The sequence below is a fragment of the Homo sapiens genome, chromosome 3, assembly GCF_000001405.40.
Source record: "Homo sapiens chromosome 3, GRCh38.p14 Primary Assembly".
Lineage (NCBI taxonomy): Eukaryota > Metazoa > Chordata > Mammalia > Primates > Hominidae > Homo > Homo sapiens.
Window position 1 is genome coordinate 50112967 of NC_000003.12, and position 14736 is coordinate 50127702.

The 14736-nt window shown below is 53.1% G+C and overlaps 1 protein-coding gene and 1 long non-coding RNA gene across 10 annotated transcripts in view, besides 4 other annotated features; one reads left to right on the forward strand and one right to left on the reverse strand.

The window, feature by feature from the left end:
* Positions 1-6055, forward strand: part of RBM5 (RNA binding motif protein 5) — a 30103-nt gene extending 24048 nt beyond the window's left edge. For 6 of the 9 annotated variants that reach the window (NR_036627.3, NM_005778.4, XM_006712917.3 and 3 more), the window contains 8 exons: positions 417-578; positions 984-1133; positions 1214-1285; positions 2462-2641; positions 2940-3014; positions 4108-4205; positions 4284-4413; positions 5365-6055. Coding sequence is in view for 8 of the 9 variants with exons in the window: in NM_005778.4 (NP_005769.1) it covers positions 417-578; positions 984-1133; positions 1214-1285; positions 2462-2641; positions 2940-3014; positions 4108-4205; positions 4284-4413; positions 5365-5490 (993 nt within the window). In the remaining variant the exon portion in view is untranslated. Of the gene's footprint in view, positions 1-416; positions 579-983; positions 1134-1213; positions 1286-2461; positions 2642-2939; positions 3015-4107; positions 4206-4283; positions 4414-5364 lie in introns of those variants that run through there. The other 3 variants (XM_011533262.3, XM_047447138.1, XM_047447140.1) reach the window with 2 other exon arrangements.
* SEMA3F-AS1 (SEMA3F antisense RNA 1) overlaps positions 3056-14736 on the reverse strand; it is a 40064-nt gene continuing 28383 nt past the window's right edge. Inside the window, exons 3-4 of the long non-coding RNA NR_135301.1 lie at positions 9559-9622; positions 3056-5282 (exon numbers count right to left, since the gene is read on the reverse strand). This is a non-coding gene — a long non-coding RNA (SEMA3F antisense RNA 1). The remainder of the gene's footprint in view (positions 5283-9558; positions 9623-14736) is intronic.
* Positions 7332-8210: an enhancer, noted in NCBI's record as "H3K27ac-H3K4me1 hESC enhancer chr3:50157731-50158609 (GRCh37/hg19 assembly coordinates)". NCBI's record gives its function as "activates a minimal SCP1, AML or CMV promoter by ChIP-STARR-seq in primed H9 embryonic stem cells {active_cell/tissue: H9 hESC(primed)}" and the evidence as "EXISTENCE:reporter gene assay evidence [ECO:0000049][PMID:30033119]".
* Positions 8211-9088: an enhancer, noted in NCBI's record as "H3K27ac-H3K4me1 hESC enhancer chr3:50158610-50159487 (GRCh37/hg19 assembly coordinates)". NCBI's record gives its function as "activates a minimal SCP1, AML or CMV promoter by ChIP-STARR-seq in primed H9 embryonic stem cells {active_cell/tissue: H9 hESC(primed)}" and the evidence as "EXISTENCE:reporter gene assay evidence [ECO:0000049][PMID:30033119]".
* Positions 10074-10574: an enhancer, noted in NCBI's record as "H3K4me1 hESC enhancer chr3:50160473-50160973 (GRCh37/hg19 assembly coordinates)". NCBI's record gives its function as "activates a minimal SCP1, AML or CMV promoter by ChIP-STARR-seq in primed H9 embryonic stem cells {active_cell/tissue: H9 hESC(primed)}" and the evidence as "EXISTENCE:reporter gene assay evidence [ECO:0000049][PMID:30033119]".
* Positions 12598-13587: an enhancer, noted in NCBI's record as "H3K27ac-H3K4me1 hESC enhancer chr3:50162997-50163986 (GRCh37/hg19 assembly coordinates)". NCBI's record gives its function as "activates a minimal SCP1, AML or CMV promoter by ChIP-STARR-seq in naive H9 embryonic stem cells {active_cell/tissue: H9 hESC(naive)}" and the evidence as "EXISTENCE:reporter gene assay evidence [ECO:0000049][PMID:30033119]".

Below are 14736 nucleotides of genomic sequence, written 5' to 3' on the forward strand. Positions count from 1 at the left end.
TGCCTCAGCCTCCTGAGTAGCTGGGATTACAGGTGTGCCATCATGCCCAGCTAATTTTTGTATTTTTAGTAGAGATGAGTTATCACCATGTTGGCCAGGCTGGTCTTGAACTCCTGACCTTGGGTGATCTGCCCACCACCACCTCCCAAAGTGCTAGGATTACGGGCATGAGCCACTGCTCCCGGCTGGGAACTAAACTTTTTAAAGAAATCATATTCTATTTTTACTCTAGCAGTGTCACACCTCTTTGCTAGGTGGTTCATCACCTTTACTTATACCAAGGTGTGCCCAGGGTCTTTTCTGGGCAGGAAATATCACTAGTCCACAACATACTTTATCTTTTTTTTGACAAAATATGTAATCGACTGACATAGCAGAAAGTCTGCATTAATTGTTTTTTGTTTGTTGTTTTCTAGTACTACTATAATTCCTTGACCCAGCAGTACCTTTACTGGGATGGGGAAAAAGAGACCTACGTGCCAGCTGCAGAGTCTAGCTCCCACCAGCAGTCGGGCCTGCCTCCTGCAAAAGAGGGGAAAGAGAAGAAGGAGAAACCCAAGAGCAAAACAGCCCAGCAGGTTAGAACATGACCCATATTTCTTTCATTGAGGTATTGGGCTGAACTCTTAGTTTTGGGGTTGTAGCATTTATGTCAGTATTATTTGGATTCTTAAAAATTGGGCTTCACATTTTATTCATACTAAGTTCTTAGAGCATTTTGCAATTTGTTATTGTTACCATATCTTGACTGTCAGCCTGTGTACTTAGGGAAAAAAGCCCTGGAAATCTCAAAGCTTTTCAAGCAGTATTTATGAATGACTTTGGTTATATGTGATAACATCTAATGGAAATATTTGTAGGTGGAAGTAAGAGTAAAAGGGGTTTGTTACAGGGCATATAGTTGAGATAAGATCCTTAATGGCTCATTCTCATGGCACAGGGGATTAAATATTTTTTTGTTGGTGTTTGTTGTTTGACATTAGATTGCCAAAGACATGGAACGCTGGGCTAAGAGTTTGAATAAGCAGAAAGAAAACTTTAAAAATAGCTTTCAGCCTGTCAATTCCTTGAGGGAAGAAGAAAGGAGAGAATCTGCTGCAGCAGACGCTGGCTTTGCTCTCTTTGAGAAGAAGGTAATAGCAGGAATGGCCAGTATGTCATGATGGGAACTTACCTAAAACTTGAGTCTCATGGCTTGTCCTCTGTTTCCCAGGGAGCCTTAGCTGAAAGGCAGCAGCTCATCCCAGAATTGGTGCGAAATGGAGATGAGGAGAATCCCCTCAAAGTAAGGGAGTACCACCAGTGTTTTAAAGACCCTATCTGTGGTTTGTGTCTCACTTTAAGGCTCAACTGCATCTTGGCTAATGTGATTCCTACTTAAAACTGAATGTGATCACTGTTGATGGGTATTGGAGCAGTTTCTGCACATAGATTCCATGTCGGGGCTTTGTTTTCTGTGAGAGCAGATGAGATGGAGTGATGAAAGAAGCTTCAATTCCTAAGCTCAGTTAATTAAGTTTCATTGCATCTGTGAGTGGAGAGTTTTAATGGTCTGGAAAGAGAAAATTAAGACAAGAAAAAGCTTGTTTTACTAGATAGATACTGGTCTGGGTGGGCCATTATTCTGATATGTTGTATTTGGGATTTTTATTTGTGGTCAGTGGTTTGAAAATAGTCACTCAGTCTAGGCAACATTGCAAGACTTCGTCTCTACTGAAAATTAGAAACAAATTAGTTGGGTGTGGTGGCTTGCATCTGTACTCCTAGCTACTTGGGATGCTAAGGTAAGAGAATTGCTTGAGCCCAGGAGATCAAGGCTGCAGTGAGCCACTGCACTTTTTGGGGATCATACCATTGCACTCCAGCCTGGGCAGTGAGCAAGACCCTGTCTCATTTAAAAAAAAAAAAAACAAAAACAGTCTTGGCACAGTGGCTCACACCTGTAATCCCAGCACTTTGGGAGGCCAAGGCAGGCGGATCATTTGAGGTCAGGAGTTCGAGATCAGCCTGACCAATGTGGTGAAACCCCATCTCTACTAAAAATGCAAAAGATTAGCCAGGGGTGGTGACAAGCGCCTGTAATCCCAGCTACTTGGGAGGCTGAGACACTTGAATCACTTGAACCTGGGAGGTGGAGGTTGCAGTGAGCTGAGATTACGCCACTGCACTCCAGCCTGGGCAACAGAGCGAGACTCCTTCTCCAAAGAAATAGAAAAAGGTAGTCACCCAGGAATCCATTTCTTAGGCTCCAAGAAGGTTGGTACCAGGAGGCTGTCAGGCCTAGCACTCAAGGACCTGACTGCTCCACGCAGTTGACAAAATGTGATTCATTACTAAAGTGTGACATGCAGTAATGGGGATTTGTTAACATTTCGGATGAGGCATTACTTTATCCAGGTACATAGCCACCGCCATCTTCCTATTGTACATTTCCAGTGACCTGTCCTCCTTTTGTCTCCAGAGGGGTCTGGTTGCTGCTTACAGTGGTGACAGTGACAATGAGGAGGAGCTGGTGGAGAGACTTGAGAGTGAGGAAGAGAAGCTAGCTGACTGGAAGAAGATGGCCTGTCTGCTCTGCCGGCGCCAGTTCCCGAACAAAGATGCCCTAGTCAGGCACCAGCAACTCTCAGACCTTCACAAGGTGGCCATGCTTCTGAGCTGATCTGAGGGGGCGAGGGGAGGCAGTGAGACAATTTGAGTGCCCTAACAGTCCTGACGGTTCCAAAAATACCTGCCATCTAATGATGGCCTTACAGAAAGCTGTTCCCGATGACAGTGGACGGAGTCTGGCAGCTCCACACACATCAAACTATAGTTTTTATGTGATTGTGTATTGTTTGGGCTTTGGCTCTTAAAGTACAGTAGATGTTACTAATGTTAGGACATTTCAAATTAAGATGGTCTGAGTCCTTACTGTGTCTTTCAAATCTTTTGTGTAGCAAAACATGGACATCTATCGACGATCCAGGCTGAGCGAGCAGGAGCTGGAAGCCTTGGAGCTAAGGGAGAGAGAGGTGAATGGGAAACTGTGCCACAAGGAAGAGGATATTGGGATAATTGCCTTTAGCTTTTATTTGTAGCATTTAGTTCCAGATCCCAGGGGCAGGGTAGGAGGATTTGTCATACCCTTGTCATCTGACCATTGTAGTTCATGTAGCCTAGACCCAGCCTCTGTGTGCCTTGTGAGCCTCACATTGTCCCTTCATCATAAGGGTGCACAAGGCAGAAGCACACTGCCGAGACTCTCTCACAGCAATGCCAGAGCTTGCTGCTTAAATACGCTGGATTTTGTTATGGAGAGAGTGGTCTAGTTTGGCCTGGCCAGGGAAGCCTTCATGGGCAAAGAAGTGCGCTTCAAATTAATCCCAAGGGACAGCAGGACGTGAGGTTATTGCAGGTGATATGAAAGGAAGGGTGGGCAGGGCATGGCAAGCAGATCTGGGAACAAAGGCAAGAGAGAAGCCTGTGACACAATAATGGGCAAGCAGTTAGTGCTGGTGGTTGGGGCAGGTTGGCGGCCAGGTGGGCAGGGATTTAAATGCAAATAGAGGCCTGTGGTTTAGAAATGAGCAAGTGGGTTTGAAATCTCCCACCTGAGATATTTCTGAAGTGTTTGTAGTTAAGGCTTTTGCTTTTCTTCTCCCCACACCCTTCCTGCCCTACTATCTATGGTTCCACCTCCCCAGCGACTGCTGAACAGGTCTCTGGAAGCCTCCTTGATGTTGGAGGTATGCCTTTCCAAATGTTGGAGGTATGCCTGTCCAAATGCTGAGGAGAACGGGCAACTCTGCCTTCCTCTTCGCAAGCTGTACCCACTGCCCAGTGGGCTGGTTGAGTAGCTTGACAGAGGGTGGCTAATTAAATAAAACTGCTTGTTGGAGACATAGTTCTGCCCCTGGTTCCACACAATTCATATTTACAAATTTAACATTTCAGATATGACTAGGTATGATGATGGGAACAAGGGAATTTGGTATTTCAGAGCAGTCTAAAAAAAGCATTCTTCAGATTTAAAAATACTTGAGGGGATAGTTTTGAATAGGTGCATTAGACGGTTACAGGTTGAAGTCTGTGAACATTTCCAGCAGTGTTTTTTCTCCCATGTAGATGAAATACCGAGACCGAGCTGCAGAAAGACGGGAGAAGTACGGCATTCCAGAACCTCCAGAGCCCAAGCGCAAGAAGCAGTTTGATGCCGGCACTGTGTATGTGATGTGCACATTTTCCAGTTCGTAAGCTGGGGCCCTGGCTGTTTTAAGTAACTGTGTGTTTGCCACTGGCAGGAATTACGAGCAACCCACCAAAGATGGCATTGACCACAGTAACATTGGCAACAAGATGCTGCAGGCCATGGGCTGGCGGGAAGGCTCTGGCTTGGGACGAAAGTGTCAAGGCATTACGGCTCCCATTGAGGTAAGCAGTGGGGTCAGGTCTTGATGTTTGCCAGGCTTACAGGCCGGTTCCAGAGATGAGATCAGAGCACTCATAGAGCCTGGGAGCCAGGAGCAGCTTTACCTTAGCATGAAGGGGCAGATTACAGGCATGAGCTCACACCTGTAATCCCAGCACTTTGGGAGGCCGAGGAGGGTGGATTGCCTGAGCCCAGAAGTTTGAGACCAGCCTGGGCAACACGGTGAAACCCCGTCTCTACTAAAATACAAAATATTAACTGGACGTGGCAGCGTGTGCCTGTAATCCCAGCTAGTCAGGAAGCTGAGGCAGGAGAATTGCTAGAACCTGGCAGGAGGAGGTTGCAGTGAGCCGAGATCACGCCACTGCACTCCAGCCTGGGCAACAGCGACTCTGTCTCAAAAAAAAAAAAAATTTAGTAGGGTTTTCACCCATGATAAGAAATCTTTAAATTGATCAGAGCCCACATTGAGGCATCATATCCCAGGATCGGAGGCCCCTACCCACTGGCCTTCTAGGCAGGAGCTCCACCCGTAATTGCCCCTGCTCTGTCCTGGGAGCACAGCTTAGGTCAGACTCTTGTAGACCATGTTCATCCTGTTTATGTGAGTTCTGCTGACATTGAGCTATCCTGTATAATGTGTGCCTGTAATTACCATACCTTTCCCAGACCTTCAGAGGAATACTTTGGGGCCCTTTCCTAGGCGTGGATGCTTGCTGAGCAGGCATTGAGGGGTGGGTGATTTGCTTCATCTGCCTGTGTTCCGTAGCCCATTTTATTCCTCCAGTCCTTATACTTGCTCCTGGTCTCTTCTGGAGAAATCCTTGTCTTCATATACAGTTTTCTCTCTTCTGTCTCCTGGTGGGTGGTCCTGCTGGGTAAGGAGTGGGCATGGTGAGAGGTGGAGCAGCCCATACCCTACCTCCCAGCTGACAGTCTCTGTGCTTTCCCAGGCTCAAGTTCGGCTAAAGGGAGCTGGCCTAGGAGCCAAAGGCAGCGCATATGGTTTGTCGGGCGCCGATTCCTACAAAGATGCTGTCCGGAAAGCCATGTTTGCCCGGTTCACTGAGATGGAGTGAGAGAGAGAGAGAGAGAGAGATGACAAGGAGCACAAGAAGTGGTCCATCTCCCGAATTCGCTGTTACCGCCTGTCTCTTTAAGGGCATGCCTTGTGCTGTTAATAGATCTTAGGGTGAACCACTTCATTCTGCAGGGTTCTCCCTCCCACCTTAAAGAAGTTCCCCTTATGTGGGTTGCCTGGTGAATGGCCTTCCTTCCCGCCAGAGGGCTTGTGAACAGACCGGAGAGGACAGTGGATTGTTTATACTCCAGTGTACATAGTGTAATGTAGCGTGTTTACATGTGTAGCCTATGTTGTGGTCCATCAGCCCCTCACATTCCTAGGGGTTTGAGATGCTGTAGGTGGTATGTGACACCAAAGCCACCTCTGTCATTTGTTGTGATGTCTTTTCTTGGCAAAAGCCTTGTGTATATTTGTATATTACACATTTGTACAGAATTTTGGAAGATTTTCAGTCTAGTTGCCAAATCTGGCTCCTTTACAAAAGAAATACCTTGAGAAATGGGTGTCCTGTGTCTCTTTATTCTTGGGTGGGTAGGTGGGTCAAGCATGTCTGAGCCAGTCAAGCCTGGTGATGAAATCAGTTTATTTCTTGCCCCCATCACCACGTTCTGATTGATTGATTGATTGATTTTGAGGCAGGGTTGGCCAGGCGTGGTGGCTCACACCTGTAATCCCAACACTTTGGGAGGCCGAGGCAGGTGGATTGCCTGAGGTCAGGAGTTTGAGACCAGTCTGGCCAACATGGTGAAACCCTGTCTCTACCAAAAATACAAAAAAATTAGCCAGACGTGGTGGTGTGCACCTGTAATCCCAGCTACTCGGGAGCCTGCAGCCTCGACCTCCCGGGCTCACGCGATTCTCCCACTTTAGTGTTCCAAGTAGCTGGGACTACAAGCACATACCACCATGCAGGCTAATTTTTTAATTTTTTACAGAGATGGGGCCTCACTCTGTTGCCCAGGCTGGTCTTGACATGTTCGGATTTTTAAATTCAAGAGTTTAACATGTTTTAGCCGGGCGTGGTGGCTCACGCCTGTAATCCCAGCACTTTGGGAGGCCGAGGCAGGCGGATCACCTGGCGTTGGGAGTTCAAGACCACCCTGACCAACATGGAGAAACCCGTCTCTACTAAAAATACAAAATTAGCTGGGTGTGGTTGGCCTGTAATCCCAGCTGCTCGGGAGGCTGAGGCAGGAGAATTGCTTGAACCCAGGAGGCGGAGTTTGCAGTGAGCCGGAGGTCGCGCCATTGCACTCTAGCCTGGGCAACCAGAGCAAAACTCCGTTTCAAAAAAAAAAAAAAAAAAAGTTTAGCATGTTTTAAAACTCTTCATGGAAATCATGGTAACTTAGTAGCTTTTCTGCTAAGACCAAAGTGACCATGAGTGCTTGCACCTCTCTAGTTTCCACAGACTTTATTCCACACATGCCGGAGTGTGGAGTTGTCACTGCTCTGCAGGGCAGATCCTCCCTGCTTTTGGCCATGATACAGGTGATACCTGGTCCACCCTCTGCTGCGATGGAGAAACTGAGGAGGTCATCTCCCCCTGGCAGCACTCCACTCACTGCATCTTCTCAGCTGCTAAGGAGGTCCTGGGGGCATTGGAGAGTTTTCTGTTTTGAATGGGTATTTCGTCCTCAGCACTCTTCCACAGGGCAGAGAACATCATTTTGACCCAGAAGACCATGCCTGACCAGGTCAGGAAGTATACCTGGATCTCAGGCTGTTCTTGGGACCAGATGATGTGATGGGTTGCTCACATTGCCAATCTGGCCAAACTGAGTGCTTAAGCTCCACAGATTGGGCATGCAGTTAAGGTGGCCTTTTCTCTGCAGTTTACTTTTGAAGCTAGACTTGCTTTTGTGGGTGGTCACGTTTTCCTCTTTTCGGGCAGGGCGTTAAGGAATAGAAAATGCTCAGGAGGTCCTCACCCTGGCCTGTAGGGTAGTGCCTTGGAGAAGCTGAGCCTAATCACAGCTCTGGCTAGGGAGAGGTGGACGCAAATGCAGAAGCCCCAAGCCTGGGTTTCTGCAGAGTAAGGCTTGGGAACTTCACAAATGAGGGCCCAAGCGCCCAGAGCTGGGGTGGAGAGTGTGTCACAGATCTGGTCTACAGAAGTTGGATAAGAAACTGGCCTCACCTCCAGAGCCCTCACGGCATCAAGGGTGATGCTGGTGTTCCTCGCACCTGAGCAGCAGTCCTGAGTACCCTAATTAGACCCTTTTGACATCCGGCCCGGAAAGCTCTTCCAGGTGAGCATACCCAGAATAGGATCTGGGAAGCTCTTAATTATATGTACCCAGCTCAGCAAAGGTTGGGTGGAAGCGTCTTCCCTAGGGGAGCCATGGCCAGGCATTAATAGGAGCCAGCCCTCTAGCAGCCTCAGATTGACTTCCCAGCACCCGGAAGGGCACCTCAACCTGTCCCACACTGCTGGTGCTTAGAGTTACCTGTCAAAGCTGCTCAAGGCTCTCCCATGTGTGCTGTGGACCACGGCATCTGTTGTCAACACCAGCGTGGCCTTTCCTATGAACATGAAGCTGAGGGTTCCTGTGAATGTGAGGGTCTGAGCCAGCTCCTCAGAGATGGAGGCTCCCTCCTCTGGCCTCACCTGTTACCAGCATACCTAGCCAGGTGACTGCAGCCTTCACCCTGCATCTAAATTGATGGCCCCAGTCCTTGAGGTTTGACAGGCTGTTATCTTGGGCCCAGGTATCCTGCAAGACCATATTTGGGTGATCCTTCTGGTTTGGAAGCACTAGGATCCCAAGCATCCTCCTGACTGGCCCATCAGGGTTTACTCCAATCCCAAGCCCGGTTAAATGTGCTGTGTGCTGCCCATAGGGCCACCATTCCTCTTAGTCCTGTGTGATGTTGAGATGCTGTGAGAGTAGTGCAATCCTCTCAATCAGGGGAACCCAAATCTTGAATTTGAACGGTGCTCTTACTGAACTAGAAGGAGCCTCCAAGGATTCCCAAGTCCAGACTGCCCTTGGCTGGGACAGCTGCTACAACGTGCAAGGCTTTGAGGGCCGTCCAGGAGCAGCTGTCATGGCTGTGCATCAAACAAGTTTCAAAGCCCAGATGAGCATCCCGGCCTGAGCTAAGCTCCCCAGGCATGCATAGTCTGGCTGGGGGTCTCAAGGGCGCCCAGATCCCAGCCACCCCGATTCCGGAGGAATGAATGCCCTCAGGGACAGGTGGGGTGTGGGGGAAGATTGCCCACAGTCGATACTGGAGGAGGGTACTGTGTTGTTGGTGGCCACCAGGTGGCAGCATTCCATCATCTTTCCAGCCAGGCTGGTATAGGTGGTGGTAAGGAGAGGACTTCCCACCAAGTCCTGAGGTACTGGAGGTTCCCAGGGGCTCTCTCCACGTCTCTGGGACTCAAGGAGACCTGGCTAGAACTTCGGCCTTGAAACTTTCTGGAGTCAGGCAGGTGCCAAGTCTGCCTGCCTTGCAAGTTCCTGAGGGTCTCTGACCCCCAGGGACCCCCTCTGGCTAGATGGGGAAGTCGTCCCCACAGCGCCCAATGGGGCAAGAGCCAGGCTGACCCTGTGCACAGTAGGCACTTCCCTCTCAGCAATTCTTTCTGACCCAGGTAAATAATTTCTGCAGTCGATAAAGTGCATTTCTGCCTCTCACTCCCTTTCCCTACCACGTGCTTATTGACTCACAGAAGCACTGTTGCTAGAGCATCAGATTCTCAGCTTCTGTCCCTACAGCCCATGGGGAGTTGGAGCCCAGCTTGTCCAGGGCTCCCAGATGGAAGCAGGGGATGCCTGTAGTCCTTCACCCCAGTCTCCCAGAAGGTGGCAGGAGGGAGGTGGACTCATGGACTTGGGTTAAGGTCAGAACCCTATAGGGTGGGCCACACCCAGCCAGACAGAACTTTCCAGCAGAAGGTATGAGCCAGGGGCAGGGCCCTCCCATCCTGCTTAGTCCAAGCTGCACTGCCATCCCATTTAAAGAGGAAACTGAGATTCAAAGCTGTTGCTGGACTGGGCTGCTGCTGGCAACTGCTGCCCCATCACCACTCCAGTGCAGTAGAATTGGGTCTCACCTGCAGGTACAAGGTTGAGGTCCAGCCCTGGAGTGAGCTGGGTCTTGGGATGCCTCCCAGTGCCCTGAGGAAAGAGGAGAAAGACAGGGAGAGGCAGGTGAAGACAACCAGAGGCAAAGTGAGGCCTAGAGGATGCTGGAAAGAGAAGCTGGAGGAGTCTGCAGCAGCCACAAGGGGACGGAGGAGGCTGAGGGGGCAAGATAACGTGGGATGGGGCCGCCAGGTCTAGAGGAGTTGGTTCTGCGCTACCCACGGGTGCTGAGATAGGCCTCTGATCTTGGGGTGAATTCTGCACACCAATGGGGGAGGCCGAGGCAGGTGGCCAAGAGAGGAGGGGCTAGGGTGCCTGCTCGCGTCCTCTGCTGCTTTTATGTGCAACGGAGGCTCCAGGAGCCCCTGGCTCTCAGCTCTGGGCGGGCATCACCATCCTGAGTCTGGCTGGACAGGAGCTATTTGAGAATGATTCATGGATGTAATTAAGCCTCCCCCCACCATCCCCTAGTGTGGGCCTGGAACAGGGTCAGGTGCAGGTGTGGGAGCCCTGCCCAGCCTGTCCTGCAGGGTTGGGTTCAGCCTAGGGCCCCCTGGCCCAGCACAGCCTACCACCACCTAAGGGCGCCTAGCCTCAATCTGTAAGACCTGGAGCAAGACAGGGCTGAGCCCAAATCCTGAGAGGCACCAGAGCTGGGGCTTCTTCTCCTTCCTCTTACTCCCCAACTCCTGGGCTGAGGAGCCATCCTCTGCACTCATAAGCATGCCATGTGTACGCACCCACACGCAATGCAGGCCAGCCCTCAGGCATCCGGCTGCAGCAGGCAACATGCATGCTTCCCCATCACCCTTGACATTTGAGGTGGCATTACATCCAGATCCTGCAGACCCCCTCCCTGGTTGGTGTGTGAAGCATGCACACTTGTGCATAACCCCACCCAGCCACTGGCATATAGAAGAGCACACACAAGCCAGACACATTAATGAGCAAGTGTGCAAGTGAACCTGGCTCCTGAGGGGGCAGGAATCAGATGTTCTTGCTACCCCTGAGGAAGGAAACCTGGTCTGGCAGCCTTCTGTGAAGGGAGAGGGAGCCCCCAGGGTCACAGCGTGGCAGAGCACAAGCCGCCACCCAGCAGGCACACCCTTGTGCACACAATGTCATTCTGAGGCTTTCCCCTTTTCAGGTGGGTGGATCTTGGGGGTGTCCACCCAGAACAGGCTTCTGAGCTCACTGAACAGGTCCAAGTCTGCCAGCCATGGCTCAGCTCACTGGCAGAGCTGGAGAGGGGAAGGGAAGACTGAGGAAGGGGCATCATGGTCTCTAAGACTGGCTCAAGGTTCATTACCTTCCCTTCTAACACCTGCAGCCATACCTGCAGTGAGGACAGGAAGGAGAGGGAGCAGCCTCTCCTGTTTCCCTGACAGACTGGGAAGCTGAGGTCCACACCCATCTCATCCAAACCCAGGGCCCCAGTCCCCGATCCAGTCATTTCCATGTGCTGGCATCCTATTAGCTCTGCCATCCCCTCCGCCTGGAAGGCCCTAGGACCTGGGCCTGCCACCCTGCTCAGGTTAGGAGTGTCCAGAAGCAGCTGGGCTCTGCCTCCTCCCTCCACCGTGAATCCCTGAAGACTGGATGGATCTACCTTCCCCCAAGCACATCGGCGGCACCGGCTTGGCTGGGCCTCTCCTCTTATGGCCGGGAGCCCCAGCCCCTTAGCCTCTACCAGACAAACTGAGCAGCACACGTGCCCGAGCCGCCCCCAACCCCGCCCTGGCCCCGGCCCAGGCCCCGGCCCCGGCCCCGGCCCCACCCCCACCCTGCAGATTTTTCTGGTTCTTATTAATGTAAATGAAATGAAATCTGCTCAGAGTGTCCTTAATGGAAAGTGTTCCTGGAATTTGTGCACACGTGGTGGGGGGGGGGACACCCTGAGATTAACTCTTGTGCAGCCAGACCCAGACTAGTCAGGCTGTGGTGACTGGGGCTGGGGTGGGGATTGGTGGGGACCAGGACATTCACTCATCCCCTCCCAGAACTGTGTCCTGACAACATCAAGGATGGCACAGGCTCATCCATATTCTACCCTCTGCCCTGGGACCAGCTGGACAGGTCCGGAAGTGCCTCAGAGCCTCAGGGGAAGGAGATCTTGACAGGAAACAGGGAGTCCTGGAAGGCCTTGATCAAGGAGGAGGCTGGCCAAAGACAGGGGCATAGGGCTGGAGGGGAGAGTTGACAGACTATGCATCTTGTCCTCATCTGGCTCTACCCTGATTTTGAAGGGGGACCCAGGCAGACCCTGCCTCTCTGGACCACCCTACACAGAGAAGGCCCAGCCTCTGAGATCCCCTCCCCCAGCCCCTGCCCACCGCACTCCTGAAACAGATCTGCCAGGATGCTCATCTTCATGACTATGGGACAAGAAGGGGGAGTTTGAGACCCCGGAGTGGATGCCCAGGGCCGCTGGCTGCAGGGGATGGGGATGGAAGAGACTGGACCGAGCTGCTGCGTGCCCACCCCCCGTCCTGCCGCTGTGTCCTCCCCACATCTGGATGCTTGTTCTGGCACAGCCCCCAGCCTGGCCCAGCGGAGCCGCAGCCGCATTCTGCTGCCTCGTGGCCAGGACAGGGATGTCTGCTTCATTGGCGGGGGTAGGGAAGAGTCTAAGATTTCAATTTCTCCCAGGTGTGGCTCAGTCTGGAGGGTGCCTTGGGGAGGCTGGCTCAGAGGCCGGCACCTGGGGCGGGGGGTGTGCAGAGGGGGGGAGGGGGCCACCAAGGGGGTCTCAGGGAGGAAAAAGGGCTCAGAGTGGGAGGTCCGTGGAAGGAGACAGGGGCTCTGTGAGGGGCAGGGGACTCAGGGAGGGGGGTTAGAGAAACAGGGGGCTTAGGGGGCAGGAGCTCCAGGAGGAGGGCTGGAGGGGCAGGAGGTTTGGGGGGTTGGGAGCTGAGGGCTCAAGAAGAGGATTGAGGAACACGGGGCTTTGGGAAGGGGGTTGAGGGGGCAAGGGGTTTGTGGGGGTTGGAAGCAGGGGCTTGGGGAGGAAGGTTGGAGGGAGAAGGGACTCAGAATGCGACTGACTTCACTGGGGGACAATGGGCTGCCAATCCTTCCACCCATACCGGTCAGGTGGCTGGGGGAGGGGCGCTGACCCACTTAGCTGCCTCTCCCCCAGGCTTCCACTAATGAGCGCTCTGGGCTTTGGGAGGCAGCCTTCCCCGCCCAGGCTGTGCCTCAGGCCATCCCTTCCCCCACAGCCCCTCATTATCTACTGGGGGTGTTCATTAGCTCAGGCATCCCCCCTTATCTACAGCTGCGCTTGCCTGTGGCAGTGAGGAGGAGGCCCTAGGCCCCAAAATGCACCCTCTTTGCCCCTAGTTCCACTACGCCCCCAGGACTGGGGAAACAAAGGCTACCAGATTGCTGTTGTGCAGCTCAGCTCTGAGCAGAGCTTTGATTCCACCTGTGGGTCCCCCAGCATGCCAATGAGGGGGGTGCTGTGGCGAAGCTCACAGGAGAGCTAGAACCCAGGTGCTGGCAGACTTCCCATGGGAAGTCTGCTCTGCTCACCCCAGGGGCTTCCAGTACCTGTGATCAGGAGTCCCATTCGGCAAGGAAAGGGGCTCACAGAGGGTGAAGTCCTGGATGTGTGGGGAGCACAACTCTGAGGGATGCAGAGTAGGGGGCAGCACAGTTCTGGGGAGGAAGGTGTGGGGTCAGAAGGGATGGTGGGAAGAGGGGAGAGGGCCCTATGGGGCATGGCTTCTCATGGACACAGCTCTGCAGGAACAGACAGCGCATCTGCAGGAGCGCAGCTCTGGGAGGGCGATGTAGGGGGAGCACAGAGTGCGGGCACCATCTGGGGGAAGGATGAGGGTGGGGAGCACGGCTCTCGAGGATGTCCTATGGGAGGACAGTCCAGGGAGAAGCCCGCCTGTCTCCCACAGCCTTGGCCTCTTCGGACTCCTCCCCCACATTCCTGGAGTGCATGGGGAGGTTGGCTTGCTGGATTATGCCCAAGTCCCTGAGGCTCCCTCTGATTCTGTCCCGCTGTCCATCTGTCCTCCCTCCCCAAGGAGCCCAAGGCCCAGGTGGCACTCTCCCCTCACAGTCCCCTCATTAGGGATGGGCTTTGAGATCCTTCGGCAGCATCTGCCCCCACCCCCACCCCCATCACCAAGCCAGCTGCAGGCCTGGCCCCTGGAGCCTGATAAATATTTATGATGAGATAAGCATGATAGGCCAGAGCCCAGCCCAAACCTTTGTCCTGGGAGCAGAAGACTGAGGCAGGACTTGAGCTTCCAGAGGCGGGCTGAGTCTCAGGGCTGGGGTAGGGGGAGGCCTGACTGTGTAGGTCTCCTGGGCTCTACCTGGGAGGGGGTCGGGATGGGACAGGGCTCAGGAGCCGGGGATCCTGAAGGGGCTGCCTCCAAGGTGCCACCCTGGCCAAGGCGGCTCCCCCCTACCCCTTGCCCAGCCTGTTTCGATGCTGCCTGTCTGCACTGCACGGCTGGGTCTGTTGGGACAAGGCCAGCTGGCCTTCTGTACTTGCTGCCACCCTGGCTTCTGACTTTCTCCAGGTCTTGGTGACTTCAGGAAGCTCCCAAACCAAGACTACCCTGACCATTGGGTCTGGAGCCAGGCTGGCAGGAGGGCCACCTTGGTACCCCTCTGAGGTACTGAGGTACTCCAGCCTCCTTGCTATAGGCCCCAGGGCTCTCCTGTCCCCAACCTAGGACAGGTTCCCATGGGCCGGCCCACCTTCCCCTCCATTTATCCCCTAAATATCTCCCCCTCTAGGTGCCAGAACCAACAACAGGAGGGTCTGGGCACTCCATGAGCAGGAGGCCGAGTGCTGCTGCAGGGAGGGTGACACTGTCCTCAGCGGGCCTGAGCATTAGTAGGCTCTGTACCCCAGTGCTGGCCACATCCTGGACCTTCATGAGGTTCGCTCCCAAGCCAGGGCAGGGTCACCTCTTAATACACACACACACAGCCAGCTCTGTCACGTGGGGAAAAAGAGAGACCAGAGGAAGAAAGCAGCCAGTGTGGGGTAAACAGGCATCGGGGGAAGGATACATGTATGTCTCCCAGGCTCTCGGCCAGTGGAATGTGGGTAAACATTGGTGCTCTCAAGACATAATATTGTCCTTGGGTCGTGGATGTATACATGGCATCTAGAA